We start from the raw sequence: 17,226 nt of genomic DNA on the forward strand, positions 1-17,226 counted from the left end.
TTATTTTCCTTCAAGTGTTCTAAGAGGCTAATGAAGAATGAAGTCATGTTTTATCACTTTTGTCCTTAAAGATTTCAGACATGCTGAAACTGATTGAAGTATCATTTGCTACCAGATAGATTAGTTATCTCTAGTTGTAGGAGTGGATACATCTTTAATGGTATATTTTGGTTTATTGTCTTATTTTTGATGTAGTATTCTATCAATAATTTATTAAACCTGGCATCCTTGAGTGAGCATGGATTTTTCAACTTTGGTGTTATATTGTGTTTGCTTTTAAAAACTGCTTTTGAGGCCAGGTATGGTGGCTCTTGCCCATACCCAGCACTCTGGGAGGCCAAGGTGGGCGGATTACCTCAGGTCAGGAGTTCAAGACCAGCCTGGTCAACATGGCAAAACCATGTCTCTACTAAAAACACAAAATTAGCCAGGCATGGTGGTGCATGCTTGTAGTCCTAACCACTCGAGAGGCTGAGGCAAGAGAATCACCTGAACCTGGGAGGCAAAATTTGCTAGGTTGCTGTGAGCCAAATTCGCATCATTGCCCTCCAGCCTGGGTGAAAAGAGCAAAACTCTGTCTCAAAATAAAAAAAAAAAAAACGACCAAAAACTGCTTTTGAATGGAGTTGTACATACAATTTTGATGAAAAAAATTATCAAGTGCATAAGTTCATAATAGAAAAACCAATAATACTCCAGGCACAAGTTAGTACTAAAAAAATTATGTTGAATATGCTCTAATACAACATGCTTTTTCCCTTCATGAACAATTTGTGTTTTACTGAGAAGAGTCATTGTTTATGGTAGACATTAGACTACAGATGAATATGCACTTTAAACACTCTTAGTTGCTTTCTTAATTTTATATCTGCTGCTTTATGCTTCTGTTTATTTTCATTCTTTCCAATGTCCACATTCTAGTAAATTTGAATATTTTAATCCAAGTTTATATACTATTTAATATTGCTTGTATAGTTTAGTATTGTTAAGACTCAAAAAGGTTTACAGAAAGAAGAAAAAGATCAACATGTTATTAATCATTTAAAGATCATTTTGAAATCTTTGACCTTTATATTTTAATGAATAAAATATTAGTAGTTATTAGTATAAAATAATTTATGTGTTTTGGACTTAGCATCCAGTATTTCTTTTTTAATAAAGAAAATAATTATTCTCTTGCAATATACTATGTTTACCTGGGTTTTGAAAAGTGATGTTTCCTAATATGAGAAAGCCATTTACATTTTTAAATCTACAAAGGCAAATGGAATGGTACTAAATTATTTATATAATAATGTTTAGATGGTGGCCCTTATAACATTCTTTCTATACTTCCTACAGAGTTGGGGGTATGCAATCCTGGAATATTTCTGGGAGCTAATCCTTTAGCTTGATGAATGAAACAAGACTTTTAAATAAAATTAAACTTTCAAATTATCCAGGTAATGGGCCTGTCTTTTAATTCAATGGATATGGAGCATAATGAATTATCCCCTGTTCATTGGGTAATAAGTTCTCATTCTTAATTTATAATACTCAAAATATCCTTTAATTTTTAATTTTTGATAGTCATATCATTATCCCTAGGTATTTTAGCTTCTATCTTAAATTCTAAAATAATTTTGAGACAGGAGAAAGTATTCTTTATTACTATATGTATTAAACATCATGGTTTTCAAATTTAACTGCAAATGTATCTTTTCATTGCTTCTTGGTGACGCCCTTCACCCTATCCATATTGTCACTACCAAGTGGTGATTACTTTTCAGGTTCACATACTTATTCTTTAGAAAAATCTTCTCTGTGCCTTATAAAGAATATGATTGTTGGCATTGAAAAGCCAGTGAAATATACATTATTAGCCTGTTGCCTAACTCATTTATTTAAGAAACTACACTAATTACCCACATACTTATGTTTTTATTTACTCATTATTTCTGGAGAAAACAAATACTGCTAACATGATATTTGTAAGAGAGAAAAAAGTCTTTTCTTGAAAAGTGCTGTCATTGTAGTACTAACTTATAGTATCAACTTCTTTATCAACTCCTTATACACTTTTTATTCTGAGAGAAATAAAAAAGCTAAAAGTGAAATGACTTTGTAACTCTCCATATTATAAGCACCCATCTTGGTAATTTAGGGTCTTTATAGTTAGGGTAAGTTGTGTCATACCGAGGTTACAAAATAAAAAGTATTTTGTCTCTTTGGGCCTTTCCTTATTCAGTAATACTGTCAGTTTGGCTTTTTTTGTAGGTCAACTTATTGAACTCAGTATTCTGAAATAATGTGTTTACTATCTTTTGATAAGCATTTAAAATATTAGATTTATTGTTACTCGTCTGCCTTCATTGGGCTGGAAGAATAATTGTTTCACTCCACAAAAGCCAAGTTGCAGAGAAAAACACATAGACATTCAACTGCAAAGCAGAGAAACTTGACTATTTTCTGCAATTTTAAAGTGTATATTGAATAAAACCATCTTTTTATTTTCTTTTTTGCTCACTGGCAACTATTAACAACATCAAGTGCGTTATTATAATGTTATCTAGTTAAAAATCTCAAAAAGTTTTCATAATTACCATTTAAAAATATATAAATAAGTGACCTAATGTTAATTTTTATTGTCTGAGACCATGTCTGTTATTTCACTCTTTAAATTCAGTTAGTAATGCAGAACCTAGCACTTAGTAGATACTCAAAAATTATTTGCTGAATAAAAAAAGGTTAAACATGTAATATACACAAAATGTACTGGAAAAAATGCACCAAACAATTTTGTTATACCAGTTTAATGTAAATATTGTCTTTAAAAGATAATATAGTTTTCAGGTGTCTACAGTGATTTTGTAATATTTGTGCACATATAAAGTAATATTTCCAAAAATGTAATCCAGTGGGGAAATATACTTTCTAAATTCTAGATTTATAATTTAGGGTTTAAATTATAAAATCATTAAATAAGACACAAGTGAAATATAGTCAAATATCCCCTTGGAAAAAAATTAAGTGGCCTCTAAAGTGAGGTATTCATATATGTAATTTTACAATCCTCTAGTGATAGAATTAATTAAATATGCCACCAAATTGATTAATTCCTACAGTGTTAAAAGAGAAGCACTAACAATGCCAGTGACCATGTAACATGGATTTAAGCTACAAGTCATAGAAATGTGATGAGAAGCCTCAGCACTGTAAAACCGAGGGTGGAGGAAAGCTTTTCCTCTCTCAAATGAGCTTTGCGAGGTATACTTCTTGAAGGATAGGAAGTTGAAGTGTTCAGGACTTTTATGTCTATTCTACTTTGGCTTAGTTTACATGATTCTTAGTTTATTAGCCTAGAAATGGCCAAGAAAACTTAAGGCTCAATATTTAGTTATAAATATGAAATATCCCCAATTTTTAAGATAAAAACAACTTATAAATGTATTTGTCTGTAAAAATTGTGTATATTTTTACAGAACATCTATTTCTTTCTTTATTTTTTTATTTTTTTTATACTTTAAATTCTAGGGTACACATGAACAATGTGCAGGTTTGTTGCATATGTATACGTGTGCCATGTTGGTGTGCTGCACCCATTAACTCATCATTTATGTTAGGCATATCTCCTAATGCTATCTCTCCCCCCTCCGCCCCCCCCACAACAGGCCCTGGTGTGTGATGTTCCCCTTCCTGTGTCCAAGTGTTCTCATTGTTCAATTCCCACCTATGAGTGAGAACATGCGGTGTTTGGTTTTTTGTCCTTGCGATAGTTTGCTGAGAATGATGGTTTCCAGCTTCATCCATGTCCCTAGTAAGGACATGAACTCATCATTTTTTATGGCTGCATAGTATTCCATGGTGTATAATGAACCTGAAACGGGAAAGGGCGAGATTAACTAAGCCTGTTTGCCATGGACAGCAATGGGGTTGCTAGAAGATTAGCTGTGTGGAAAAATTATGCATTTACCTTTGGGCATAATAAAATGCAATTGACTCTCCATATTCATGGGTTCTGCATCCACTGATTCAAACAACTGTGGAACAAAATTGTCAGAAAAAACAATACAACGATAAAAAATGATACAAATAAAAAACAACATGGTATACCAACTATTTACGTAGCATTTACATCGTATTAATTGTTATTAAGTAATCTAGAGATTATTTAAAGTATATAGGAGGATGTGTGTAGGTTATATGCAAATACTACACTATTTTATACCAGTAACTTGAGCATCCATGGATTTTGGTATACAAGGGGGATCCTGGAACCAATTCCCCATGCATATCAAAGGATGACTGTATGAGTTATCTGTAAAATGGTTTGGTTGAAATGTTTAGAAAACAGCTAGAAATACAAGACTGGCTGTTGGATGAAAAAAACATAGGACTAGGAAATTCAGGTATGCTAGTCTTTTTGAGTATTGCTTAAAGCCATGGGAAAAGAGCTCTCTGTGAGTTCCAAGACAGATGCAAGGACTGGCATTCATGCACAGCTTCTAACAGATAAATCTGAAGAGTTCTTAGTATGCATGTTGACTGAAATTACTTTAGAAGTAATTTTTCTCCTGGTGATAAAAGGCATGTAAGGCTATTTTAGGAAATTGAAAAATGCAAAAAGGTATAAAGAAAAAGAAAAGATAATCATTAATAGTACGTTAGTAAACAAGACTTGACTAAAGATACGACTTTCCTCCCGCTTGTTTTCTTATTCATATAAAGGGATAGGAAATATGTATGTATGTATGTGTGTGTATAGGATCATGCACTGTATATAGCTTGCTTCTTTTTCCATTATGATAATTTTCCCATGTCATGAATTACGGCTTGCAAGTGCTTATTCTTAAAGGGCTGCATTATTTTTCATTATTTGGATTTATTGTTATTTAATTGGAGCTTTATTATTGAACATTTAGATTGCTTCCAAAATTTTTTGCTCTTGTTAATATATTGTAATAAACTTCTGTGAAACACATACTCTTCACCTGCTACTTACATATGACTTCTGTAAGCAGAGACCTCTGTATCCCCAGGACCTAGAAGGTTACCCAGACATAGTAGTTGCTTAATTAAAAAAAATTATTGATTGAATGAAAGAAGACTATTAAATGTTCAGTTCTTCTTTTTTTATTCTGATTCCCTGTGTATCCAGGGGCCTCTTATTTGGCTGCATATATGAGTTTGGCTGTAATGAAAGTATTGGCCGTATATGACCATAAACAGGCATTCCTATTTCTGTCACAGTTATATTTGTCATTCTGTATTAATACATCTATATCCTGATTTCTATTGAAGCATGGTTAATTTTGTTTGCTTCTAAGCAATGTAGCTACCCTGTTGATGCTGATAAAAATAAATTTCTGAACCTATAAGACTGAGGATTGGGCCTAGGTTGTAGTAAATTGGCAAGATAATGGATGCTACCCTGTCAAGAGTCCTCTGAAGAGAAAAGTCTGCCACCCTTCACCAGGTAGAAACTCCAGGCAGTGCCACATTTTCCAGTTTGACGCCCTGTGATACCCTGAAAAGACAGATGTTTGACTCTTTTCAAATAATATTTTAACATATTTTAAGACGCAAAGGCATTGTGTCGGACTTTTTTCTTAAGAATATATTTCATTACCACTCAGAAGTTAGCTTCCAAAAGAAATAAGTGTGTGCAAAGGTTTATGATAGTGGTGTAGAGAAGTTTTTAAAATAAATGTGCATCTTTTATGGTAATAAAAGTACATTACGAAGAATTTTTTAGGTCCAGTTCACAGATTCCTTGTGCCTGGGGAAAACTTTATTAGAAAATTAGATAATTTCTAATTTGATTAGGGGAAGTCTAATGGGAAAACTTTTTAACTGAGCGGTCCAATTTGAAACATGAATATCTGTGCTGGAAGCTTCTATTGAACTTTACTTAAGTCACATCTGAGCCCCTCTGCCTGTCAGTCCACCATTACCCTAATAGTGGTAGAAATTCTTTATATGACACCTAGATCTTTTTTTGTTGCACTTTTAAGCTGTGTAGGAAACACACTGCCCACATGTTCATACAACACAGAGTGATTATCCACTTAGTTCCTAAAAAGTTGTGTTTGGTTATGGGATTTGATCCCACTTGTCCAGGGTTTAGGTCAGCTACTGAAGATTAGGATATCTGGGTACCTCTTACTGGAGAATCCATTCCTGTTTTCATTTCATTCCTGGGGGCAATATTCAATCTGGTGTGGCCCTCTGTATTATAAAATGTTTCCCAGATTGTGTTTATCTGAAATACAAATCCAAGAAGAAGCATGGTGTTAATTGCCATGTAAAAAAGATTCCAGAGTCAAGAGCTTGAGAAGTTCTATTCCTTCCTTCATAGGTTCAGTTGTTTAACTCAGCATTTTTCAAACATATTTTACTCCTAGAACCTGTTTTTCCTCAGACATATTTAAGAAAAAAGCGTTTTGTAGAACACATTTGGACAAATGATACTTTATATCATTGCTTTGTTTTTTAAATTTTAGTTTGACTCAATTTTACAGTTTCAGGATTTTGTTTCTGTTTCAGGTTTTAAGCTTTTCTTTTATAAATAGTTACTTTCCTAGTCTGAAATCTATACATTGTTTCAGTAATGAATTCATTATGTAAATTTGCCCATCATTCATCTAAAGGGAATAAACATTAAATTGTTTTTTTAAATTTTGACTTGTGTCACATATGAGAATATAAAGTATATCTGTACAATAAAGGAAAATGAAACATCAAAGTATCTACCTCAGGTTAAGAAGCAGAACTTGGCTGGGCATGGTGGCTCACACCTGTAGTCCCAGCACTTTGGGAGGCAGAAGTGGGAAGATCACTTGAAGCCAGGAGTTGGAGACCAGCTTGTTCAATAAAGGAAGACCTCATCTCTAACAACAACCACAACAGCAAAAAATTAGCCAGGCACGGTGACACATGCTTATAGTCCCAGCTACTGGTGCAGCCTCGAACTCCTGGTCTCAAGCCATCTTCCCACCTCAGCCTCATGTTGTAGTGAACTTTGTTATGCAGTGTCTCCTATTCTACTTGTGCAGGAGTATTTTTCCAGTATGTACCTGGAGTGGAATTGCTTGGTCATTGGGCATGTGTGTGTTCAGCTCTATTGAGTGGCATCATACTGTTCTCCAAGGCAGTTGTACCAATCTACACCCTCACCAGCAGTGAATAGTCTTCCCATTGTTCTTCCTCAATGAAACTAGATATTCACAGCCTTTTAGGTTTTTCCTAGAGTATGAAGTGGTATCTCTTTGGGGTTTTAATATTTATTTCCCTGATTAGAATTGTAGTTGAGTATCTTTTATTATGTTTATGGGCCATTTATGTTTTCTCTTCTGTGAAATTCCTATTCGGGTTTTTTGCTCATTTTAAATGTTGTTGTTTGTGTTTTTCTTATATAGGAATTCTTCACGCATTCAAGATGCACGTATGTTGTTCAGCATAGTACCTGAGACATAGAAACAACTTTGTAAGAATAGCTATCATTACATTACCATTGTATTTAATCCTTTGTTTTTATGTGTTACAATTATCTTCTGCTAATTTGTGGCTTATTTTTCATTCTGTAATGCTCATTTTTTAACCTAGTATTCTATTATTTTAAAAATACACAATCTTGAGTAGTCTACATGTTCATAACCATGACATATTCATGTTGCATTTGTTCTGTGTCATAACCCAGAACTTTCTTTTTTTTTTTTTTTTTGAGATGGAGTTTTGCTTTTGTCACCCAGGCTGCAGTGCAATGGCGTGATCTTGGCTCACTGCAACCTCTGCCTCCTGGGTTCAAGAGATTCTCCTGCCTCAGCCTCCCGAGTAGCTGGGATTACAGGCACCTGCCACCATGCCCAGCTAATTTTTGTATTTTTAGTAATGGTGTTGTTTCGCCGTGTTGGCCAGGCTGGTCTCGAAATCCTGACCTCAGGTTATCTGCCCACCTTGGCCTCCCAAAGTGTTGAGATTACAGGCATGAGTAGCTGCACCCGGCCAACTTTCAATCTTAAGTACCATTTTTTGCTGCTGTTTCTTTTTTTGAACCCCAGGAAAAAATTAACTCATTTAATCCCCTATTCAAACTGCTACAATTTTATTTTCAGTGTTGTCGCCTGGTTGTAGATGCATTTGTCTCTCCAAATGCACTGTGATTATTTCGAAGACAAAACATTTTTGGCATTGTGATATATATATATATATGTATGTATATATGTATATAATATATGTTGTATAAATATTTATGTTTTATATATCATATAAAATTTATATATAAAAATTATATATATATATATATATATATATATATATAAAAATGCCACTTATCCCTAATATAGGGACTCGATTAGTTTCTGCTAGTGTGGAGACAAGTCATATCATGGCTAGGGGCCATGATGGTAGGAGCAGTCAGAGGATTTCTTGCATTGTGATGAGTGCCTATAAGTTAAATGAGCCACTTATCAGTAGATTTGATAGCAGGATAATAGTTATATCACTGATACCTAGGCAGTACATGACACTCGGTAAAGAATAGATTAATCCTCGTGCTCTTCATCTTCCTCCTAATCTCTTTACCTGTGCTGCCCTCCAGCTTTCAAAGTGCTCTGAGTCATCACTTACACAGTGTTCCTTAGCTGCCCCTTCAGTGAGCCAGTGTTTCTGTGCCCCAGTGTTCCTGAGAGTTAGAACACAGAAAACAGAGCAGGCTCTTGCCCACATCACAGAACATCTTTGTCTCCCTGTGGATCCCGCACATTTGTTCATTAGAGCTCAGGAATTGCCAGAGACTGGCTTTTGTGGCAATGGACACTAGATTCTTCAGAAGAATATTGGTTGAAATCTTCCTGCTGTGACAATTCCCTGCATGCAGGGCAGGAGTGTGTGCTTCTTCCCAGCAAAGGCAGAGGCAGGGCCTACAGAAACTGTGCCCGCAGCCTATAGTGATGGGGTCTATGAGGTAATTCAGGCAGATGAGGCAGGTGAGTTCTTTCTGGAAGGCTTGTGGGAAGTCTAAGTCCATTTTTCTGAGGGAAGAAAACCAGAAGAATTTATTCTTATGCCACAGAGAGGCAAAGATCTACACAAAGTTTGAATCAGGTTTTGAGTAGGATTCGCTCACAGGTTTAAATCTATAGCAGGATACGATTTTATTTTGCACATAACAAAAATGAAAAACTGAGGCATAGAATTCAAGCTTTGCAGAAAAATGTGTTGGCTCCCTAACCAACACACACACACACACACACACACACACACACACACACACCCCTACTTTCCAAATTCTTTCCTCCTGTATGAAAAAAACTTAAGGCTGGGCACAGTGGCTCATGCTTGTAATCCAGCACTTTGGGAGGCTGAGGCAGCAGGATTGCTTGATCCAAGGAGTCCAAGACCAGCCTGGGCAACATGATGAGACCCTGTCTCTACAAAAAGAAAAGGAGAAAAAAATTAGCTGAGCATGCCAATAGTCCCAGCTACTAGGGAGGCTGAGGTGAGAGGATTGCTTGAGCCTAGGAGGTCAAGGCGGCAGTGAGCCATAATCCAGCCACTACACTCTAGCCTGAATGACAGAGCAAGACTCTGTCTCAGAAATGAACAAAGAAAGAAAAAGAGAGAGAGAGAGGGAGGGAAGGAGGAAGGAAGGAAGGAAGGAAGGAAGGAAGGAAGAAAAGGAAGGAAGGAAGTTTACAGAGTTTTTTGAGGTGTTAGTGTTCCCTAAATTGTATGGTCTTCAGAGGTTTACCCTCCTATAGCTTCAAGGGGTGAGTCCTGACTGGTAGGAAAATCAATCACACTCTTACTTGCCAGTGATTCATTTAGGGAAGACAGCTAACTAAGCTCTTCCACTTTGATTATTTCATTTAATTGTAACAACCATCTTATTATGACTTCTTCAAAATTACCCTGCCAGTAAGTGTTGGAGGACTCCCCAGAAGCAGAAACCACCATGCTTCCTGTATAGCCTACGGAACCATGAGCCAACTAAAGGTGTTTCTCAGGTATTTCTTTATATCTTTGGCCAAAATTAAAGAGTTAGGCTTTACTCTCCAAGATACTGCAATGGACAAAAACAAGCCACCACTGTTTTCTAATGTTGTTTTCTTGTTAATTCAATCAACAAGTATTTTCTGGTAAGTTTAGTGTTCCAGAGACTGGTAACCTGGTGATGCACCAGTTAATAAAACATCCTTAAGAGAAATAAAAGTTGAAAAATGAACCAGATGATAAAATGCAGTAGTGTACACAATCCCACTTATCCACAGGTCTTCTGTGTGTCACCCATGATCCAGAAAATGTCTTTAGTATAAGCCATTGATAAAGATGCCTGAAAAATTTACGTATAGAAGACATAGTCACAAAATTATTTTTTTCCTTTGATATCCCTTGTTACTTCAAACAGAATTTACCACTCCAATTCGATTTCTGAATACATGGGAGTTAATAGAATACTTCTAATCCATTTATAGGATCTACACTAAGTAAAAAAATTAAAGACATCTGAAAACTATTTTGTGAGTCCTTATAATCCATATCAACAATCATGGAATATATTAAGTAATAGACCAAAAATTAATCATCATATTAACCAAAAACACATAGCAAGACAAGATAACTAAATATTTTCATTTGGAAATTGGGAAATTTAGTCAATTTTAAAACTCAGCAAATGAGATCATTTCACAGAAGCAACCTAGGTTTGCTGGTAAATTAAAATTATGACGTTTTGGTTTGGGAGGGTAGTTCCTCTTCTGTAAATTGTGTACTCACATAAGAAATATATCTATGTTCTCACGGACACTTGCTGTAGAGGTAATAATATGAAGTTAGCTCAGGGATCAGGGCCTCACAGTGCAGTGCTGGTAGTTTTTTTTGTTTTTGTTTTTTTTTTTTTTTTTTTGCCCTGCACCTTGAGTAAAAGTTTCCTGAGGCCTCCCCGGAAGCAGAAACCACCATGCTTCCTGTATAGCCTATGGAACTGTGAGCCAACTAAAGGTATTTCTCATGTATTTCTTTATAGGAATGCAAGAGCGTACTAATACAGCTAAGCAGAGGCCATCAGGACCAGCAAAAGTCTGAGCTGGATGAGAGACAAAGCTAAACTTTGAGCAGCAGCAGGAGCTGCCAGGGATTACAGAAAGGAAGGACTGACTCCTAAATTCCAGGATGTCTCCTTTAAGTCTGTAAGAAGCTCAGCCACTGTCTCCTTACCTGACTCCTCTGGGAAAGAGTTTCCCTAGGTTAAACCATACAGGGATAGGGTAGGAGATGCCATTTGGATCTAGGAGCAGAGGGCAGAGACTCAGCAGGAAGAGTGTCTCTTTGAGAAGGATACACAGTGGAGCAGGTGTGTAGGTTCACAGGGCCAGCTATGGGTAGAGTCGGGTGTACATTTTTAGAAGCCACAATTCCCAAAAATCTCCTGACTATAAGATCAGTGCACAGAGCCAGTCAAATGGAGGAGGAGTGGGTCCAGGCAATTCAGGAAGAAGGAAAGTAACAAATGAGTGGTTGCAGGAGGACACTTTTTCTGTCGAGGTCACTAAACAAAACATTGTCTCCTCCCCTTAACTTCGGAAACAATGGAGGGTAAAAGTGTTGCCTGGGCCCTGGGGGCAAAGGCAGTAGATAACTTCTCTGTCGTGTTCTCCAGAAGGGCCCATTCCAGCCTCACAGGCCGAGAAGTCTGTTCAGTTCCCAAGTACTAGAGATGCTGCTATAAGGGACTCCTGAATTTCCTTCCTGAACCAGAGGCTGCCCAGCCTTTTCTTCCTGTTTTATTTTTTCCCAGGAAGAAACTTGCCTGTACAATTACAAGGTTCTACGGTTCTAAATTCCAATCTAGTCTTCCACATCATTTTGAAGGTATAATATTACTTGTCAAAGTGGGATGATAGAAGATATGTGTGGACATAAATTGTTGACAAGGAAAAAAACTAAAATCAGAAAATAAGAAAAAATATATGTATGTACAGTGGTTAGCTAGAAATGTGCCTTTTAAATATTTGGCATGTGGTATGTGGGCCTCAATGTGTACTATTGCACTAGCTTCCCAAATATTAAAGGATGTCTTTTAAAAGAAAAACCTCTTGCTAAAAGGTTAACAGTTAAAATAACCAGAGTGGCACAGGTACCAGTCATTAAGTGAAACCTTTCATCTTCCCAGAATAGTACCTGTTCCCAAGCCAGCTTCTTTGAAAATCACTTTTCTCTCCTTTACTATTTAGTTTACAGATTGTATAGTAACAATACAGAAACCACAATAGTAGCAAAAAAAATAAAGAATATTTTTAAATGAAAACTCACATCCTAACTCTACCAAAACATGAAAATTAAACCTGAATGCCTCCCATTCCTGATATATTTTCACCTAAATATTCAGCTCTGGGATTGCATTGTTTTTGGATTGAGTGGAAATTATTGCCTGGTCTTGAAATCTTCCATAATGTGTGTGTGTGTGTGTGTGTGTGTGTGTGTGCGCGTGCGTGTGTGCATGTGTGTGTGTGTATATGTATGTATGTGTGGTGAATATATTTCTTTTTGTTCGGAGCAAAGATTTTTTCAATATGTATATTTATTTTAGGCAGATTATGCTAGTAATTTTCTACAAATGTGCTTTTTAAAAAATAACCTTTAATTTAAAAAAAATTATTCTTACTCAGTGGCCCACAATTGTTAAAAACGCTACTAATGGAGCTGGGTATGGTGACACACACCTGTCATCCCAGCTACTTGGGAGACTGAGGCAGGGGTATTGCTTAAACTTGGGAATGTGAAACCAGCCTGGGCAACATAGTGAGATCCCAATCTCAAAAATCAATCATTAAAAAATAAAATAAAACACTACTAATAGCTTTTTAAAAAATAGTTCTTAACCAATTTTCCTAGCACCTTCCTTTCCTCAGTGAAGTATAGAAATATGTGGTCAGTCACTGTGGCTCACACCTATAATCCCAATAATTTGGGAAGCCAAGGCATGAGGATCAGTTGATTCCAGGAGTTCAAGACTAGCCAGGGTGACATAATGAGACTTGGTCTCTAACGAAATTTTTTTTTCTTTAATTACCAGGGCATGAGGGTGCATGCCTGTAGCCCAGCTACTTGGAAGGCTGAGGTAGGAGAATCACTTGAGCCCAGGAGGTGAAGGCTGCAGTGAGCCATGGTTGCACCACTGCACTCCATACCTGGGTGACAGAGTGAGACACAGTAACAAAAACAAACAACAACAAAAAGTATTTGTTTTAGAAAAAACATTTGGTGAGATTTGGGCTTAAAAATATATTATTCTAAAATATTCATAAATATTCTCTAGTAATGATAAGATTAAAGTGACAAAGACAAACTTTTTTCCTGTGCAGTTCCATCTCTCACCTTCCTGTAATTTGTCTGTCCCATCCAGCTTCCAAAGGAAATTATTTACAAAATAATGTCTGCATCCTGGGTCTATATATCTATTGCCTATGAGGAGAGCGTTTAAGATCTGAGCCATCTTCAAGTCTTATACTTTGTGTATAGCTCTCATGTTTTTGCAGGTTATGTAAGTTTGTATACCCTTTCTTTTATTAATCTGTGTATGGTCAGTTCATTTCCGGTAATCTTCAGAGGGTGAAAGGGGAAGCTTTTCACTTCACTCCTACTGTGACAACTAACTACCTTCTTACTTATTCAATTTTTTAGTCTATATCAACATTTTTATATACATTTACTTTTAAACAAAATTTTGCATCATTACACTTAAAATTTTATTTAACTTTTAAAAAGGAAATTAAAAATAAAATTAAAAATTATAAAATTTTACATAATAAAAATAAAATAAATGATTTATATAAAAATTAATCTGACCTGTGAAAAACACTGTCCAGAGGCTAGGTGCGGTGGCTAACGCTTGTAATCCCAGCACTTTGGGAGGCCGAGGTGGGTGGATCACGAGGTCAGGCGATCTAGACCACGATGAAACCCCTCTCTACCAAAAATACAAAAAATTAGCGGGGCGTAGTGGCGGGCGCCTGTAGTCCCAGCCACTCGTAGAGGCTGAGGCAGGAGAATGGCGTGAACCCGGGAGGCGGAGCTTGCAGTGAGCCGAGATCGTGCCACCGAAATCCAGCCTGGGTGACAGAGCCAGACTCTGTCAAAAAAAAAAAAAAAAGAAAAAAGAAAAACACTATCGAGAGAATAAAAAGACAAATCACAGACTGGGAGTAAAAATTTACAAAAGCTATATCTGGTGAAGATACATTTGTTATCCAAAATATGCAAAGAACTCTCAGGACTCAATAATAGGAAAACAAATAGTCTAACACAAATGTAGAGATCTGAACAGACATTTCACCATAGAATACAGATGGACGATACATAAGCACATCATTCATCATTAGGGAAATGTAAATTAAAACCACAATGAGATACTGTTACTTGCCTATTAGAATAGCTAAAATTTAAAAGACTGACCATACTAAACATTGGTGAGAACACAAAGGAACAGGAATGCTCATATACTGCTGCTGGAAATACAGCCACTTTGTCAGTTTCTTTAAAAGTTAAACTGGCTGGGAGCGGTGGCTCACGCCTGTAATCCCAGCACTTTGGGAGGCCAAGGCGGGCGGATCACGAGGTCAGGAAATCGAGACCATCCTAGCTAACACGGCGAAACCCCATATCTACTAAACATACAAAAAATTAGCCGGGCGTGGTGGCGAGCACCTGTAATCCCAGCTACTCCGGAAGCTGAGGCAGGAGAATGGCGTGAACCCGGGAGGTGGAGCTTGCAGTGAGCCGCGATGCACCACTGCACTCCAGCCTGGGCAACAGAGCGAGACTCCGTCTCAAAAAAAAAAAAAAAAAAAAAAAAGTTAAACATATCACACCACCTAGTCATTCAAATCCTGCTTATTTGCCCAAGACAAATGAAAGTGTATGTCCAAACGATTGGACAAACATTCGTAGCAACTTTATTTGAAATAGCAAAAACAACTGGAAGCAAACCAAATGTCCATCAAGAGGTGAATAGATACACTAACTGTAGAATATCCACACAATAAAACTATTTTTTTAAAAACTACGGGGCAAAAAACAAAAAACCAAAGATAGAATCTAATTTCTTGGTAAATACATTCACTATTAGGGTTTTTATAACAGAGAAGTCATTCTTTATTAACACTCTTTTGACTATGAAAATATTTTGACATCAAAAATCTGCAAAATATGAAGAAACAAAGGACACACAGCTTTTTCTATTTTTTATTTTTATTTTATTTTTATTTTTTTGAGAAGGAGTCTCTTTCTGTCACCCAGGCTGGAGTGCAGTGGCGCGATCTTAGTTCACTGCAAGCTGCGCCTCCCGGTTCACGCCATTCTCCTGCCTCAGTCTCCCGAATAGCTGGGACTACAGGCGCCCGCTACCAAGCCCGGCTAATTTTTCGTATTTTTAGTAGAGACGGGGTTTCACCGTTAGCCAGGATGGTCTCAATCTCCTGACCTCGTGATCTGCCCGCCTCGGCCTCTCAAAGTGCTGGGATTACAGGCGTGAGCCACCACCCCCGGCCCCAGGACACACAGCTTTAAAATTTCTCCTTGGTCTCACCCAGTGCCAACCACCTAAAACCTCTCATTTTCCCCCAGACATTTCTTCTGCCTCCAGGATGGAGGTAGAGAATCTTGGCCTTGGACCACGCACTGGGGACCATGCTGGGCTGCCGTGGACAGTGACGGACTCAGGTTCTCACCAGGATCCCCAAAATAGGCCCCTGAAAAAAATGTTACCATCAGGGTGCGCTCCCTGATTCTTGTGTCTGCTGGAAGGAGGAAATCAAGCCAGGAACATTGTCAGGATAGAGATGAAAATGGGGCTCACTTTTCTGTCTTTTGTGATGTCAGACAAGCCTTTCAGCTCTGTCTCTTCAGCCCTCATGGAATTGTTTGGTGTGGACGCACCGAGATTCTGAACTGGGTCCCCTTTCCCTCTGCCCTTCTCTGGGGCCAGATTCTGAGCTCTCCATTCCAATTTTTCCCCCAATTTGCCCTTGCATTTATTTATCTGGATTACTGTCTGCCTGTCCCAAAGAATAAAAGCTTTATCACAGTGGGGATTTTGTTTAAAAAAATAATAATAACAGCTATATTTTTAGGATCCATGACACTGTCCAGCATATCGGTGGTATCTGATAAAAAATGTTTGTTGACTGGATGAACAAATATATTATTCACAATTCACATTATCCTGAACTGGCTAGAAAATTAAATATCTGATATCAGTATTGGCAATATTATGAAGTAAATATAAGTCTGATACAGTGCTCGTGAAAGTCTAATATGCAATGCTCATTTTAGAAAACATTTTCTTGTAGATTTGAAAATGTTTCATCTCCATGAACTAGTTGTATATCTGCAAGTTGTGTATCTTTGGGTTAGGCAGAATAATTGCCCCCCACCAAAGACAGCCACATCCCAGTCTTCAGATAAGGTGAACATGCTAACGTAAGTTAGCATGTTCAAAGAGACTTGGCAGATGTGATTACCATTAAGGGCATTGAAATGGGGAAATTACCTTGAATTACCTTGGTGAGCCAGTCTAATCTCATAATTCCTTGAGAGCAGAGAATATTTTCTGGATGCTGAGATTCAGACAGATGGCAGTATGAGAAAGATGTGGCCTGCTATTACTGGCTTTTAAAACAGTGGTAGGGGGCCACAAGCCAAGAAAAGCCAGTGACCTTTAGAAGCTGGGAATGACCCAAAGTTTACAACCAGGAAGAAACTGAGGATCTACAACCACAAGGAACTGAATTCTGCCAACAACCCAGATGCTCTTTTAGAGCCTTCAGAAAGAAATGCAGCCTGCCAACATCTTGATGTTAGTTCAGTGAGAGCCATGCCAGATTTCCAACCAAAACAATTCTAAGACAATAAGTCTGTGTGTGTTTTTTAAAACTGACTCAAATCTTACAAAAATGTGTTCTTTTAAGCCACTGAATTTGTGGTAAATTGTTACAGCAGGAATAGAAAACTGATACAACCCTAGAGAAAGTCTTGTACATGTGCCCTATAAACACACAGCAGAATTTTTTTAACTTTTTATTGAGTTAAAAAATATATATATATAATTTACCATCTGTACATTTTTAGAGGACAGTTTAGTGGTGATAAATACATTTATATTTTCTTCTCTTAATCTCCTCTTCCCACTCCCCTTGCTGGCCTCTAGCAACCACCAATTTACTTTCTATCTTCATGAGATCCACTTTT

The 17,226-nt window shown here is 37.0% G+C and overlaps 1 long non-coding RNA gene across 5 annotated transcripts; it reads right to left on the reverse strand.

The window, feature by feature from the left end:
• Positions 1 to 3,951: 3,951 nt before the first annotated feature.
• Positions 3,952 to 16,627, reverse strand: LINC03155 (long intergenic non-protein coding RNA 3155). 5 transcript variants are annotated; one of them, XR_002956880.2, is made up of 4 exons: positions 9,260 to 9,356; positions 6,139 to 6,241; positions 4,982 to 5,506; positions 3,952 to 4,019 (listed from the first exon to the last, which is right to left on the reverse strand). It is a non-coding gene; the product is annotated as a long intergenic non-protein coding RNA 3155 (long non-coding RNA). The 5 variants fall into 5 exon arrangements; XR_007061545.1 differs by adding an exon at positions 16,539 to 16,627 and having other exon boundaries at positions 3,953 to 5,506; positions 9,260 to 9,410; XR_007061546.1 differs by adding an exon at positions 16,529 to 16,612 and having other exon boundaries at positions 3,953 to 5,506; positions 9,260 to 9,410.
• Positions 16,628 to 17,226: the final 599 nt, after the last annotated feature.

This window comes from Homo sapiens, chromosome 9 (genome assembly GCF_000001405.40).
Source record: "Homo sapiens chromosome 9, GRCh38.p14 Primary Assembly".
In the NCBI taxonomy this organism is placed as follows: Eukaryota; Metazoa; Chordata; class Mammalia; order Primates; family Hominidae; genus Homo; species Homo sapiens.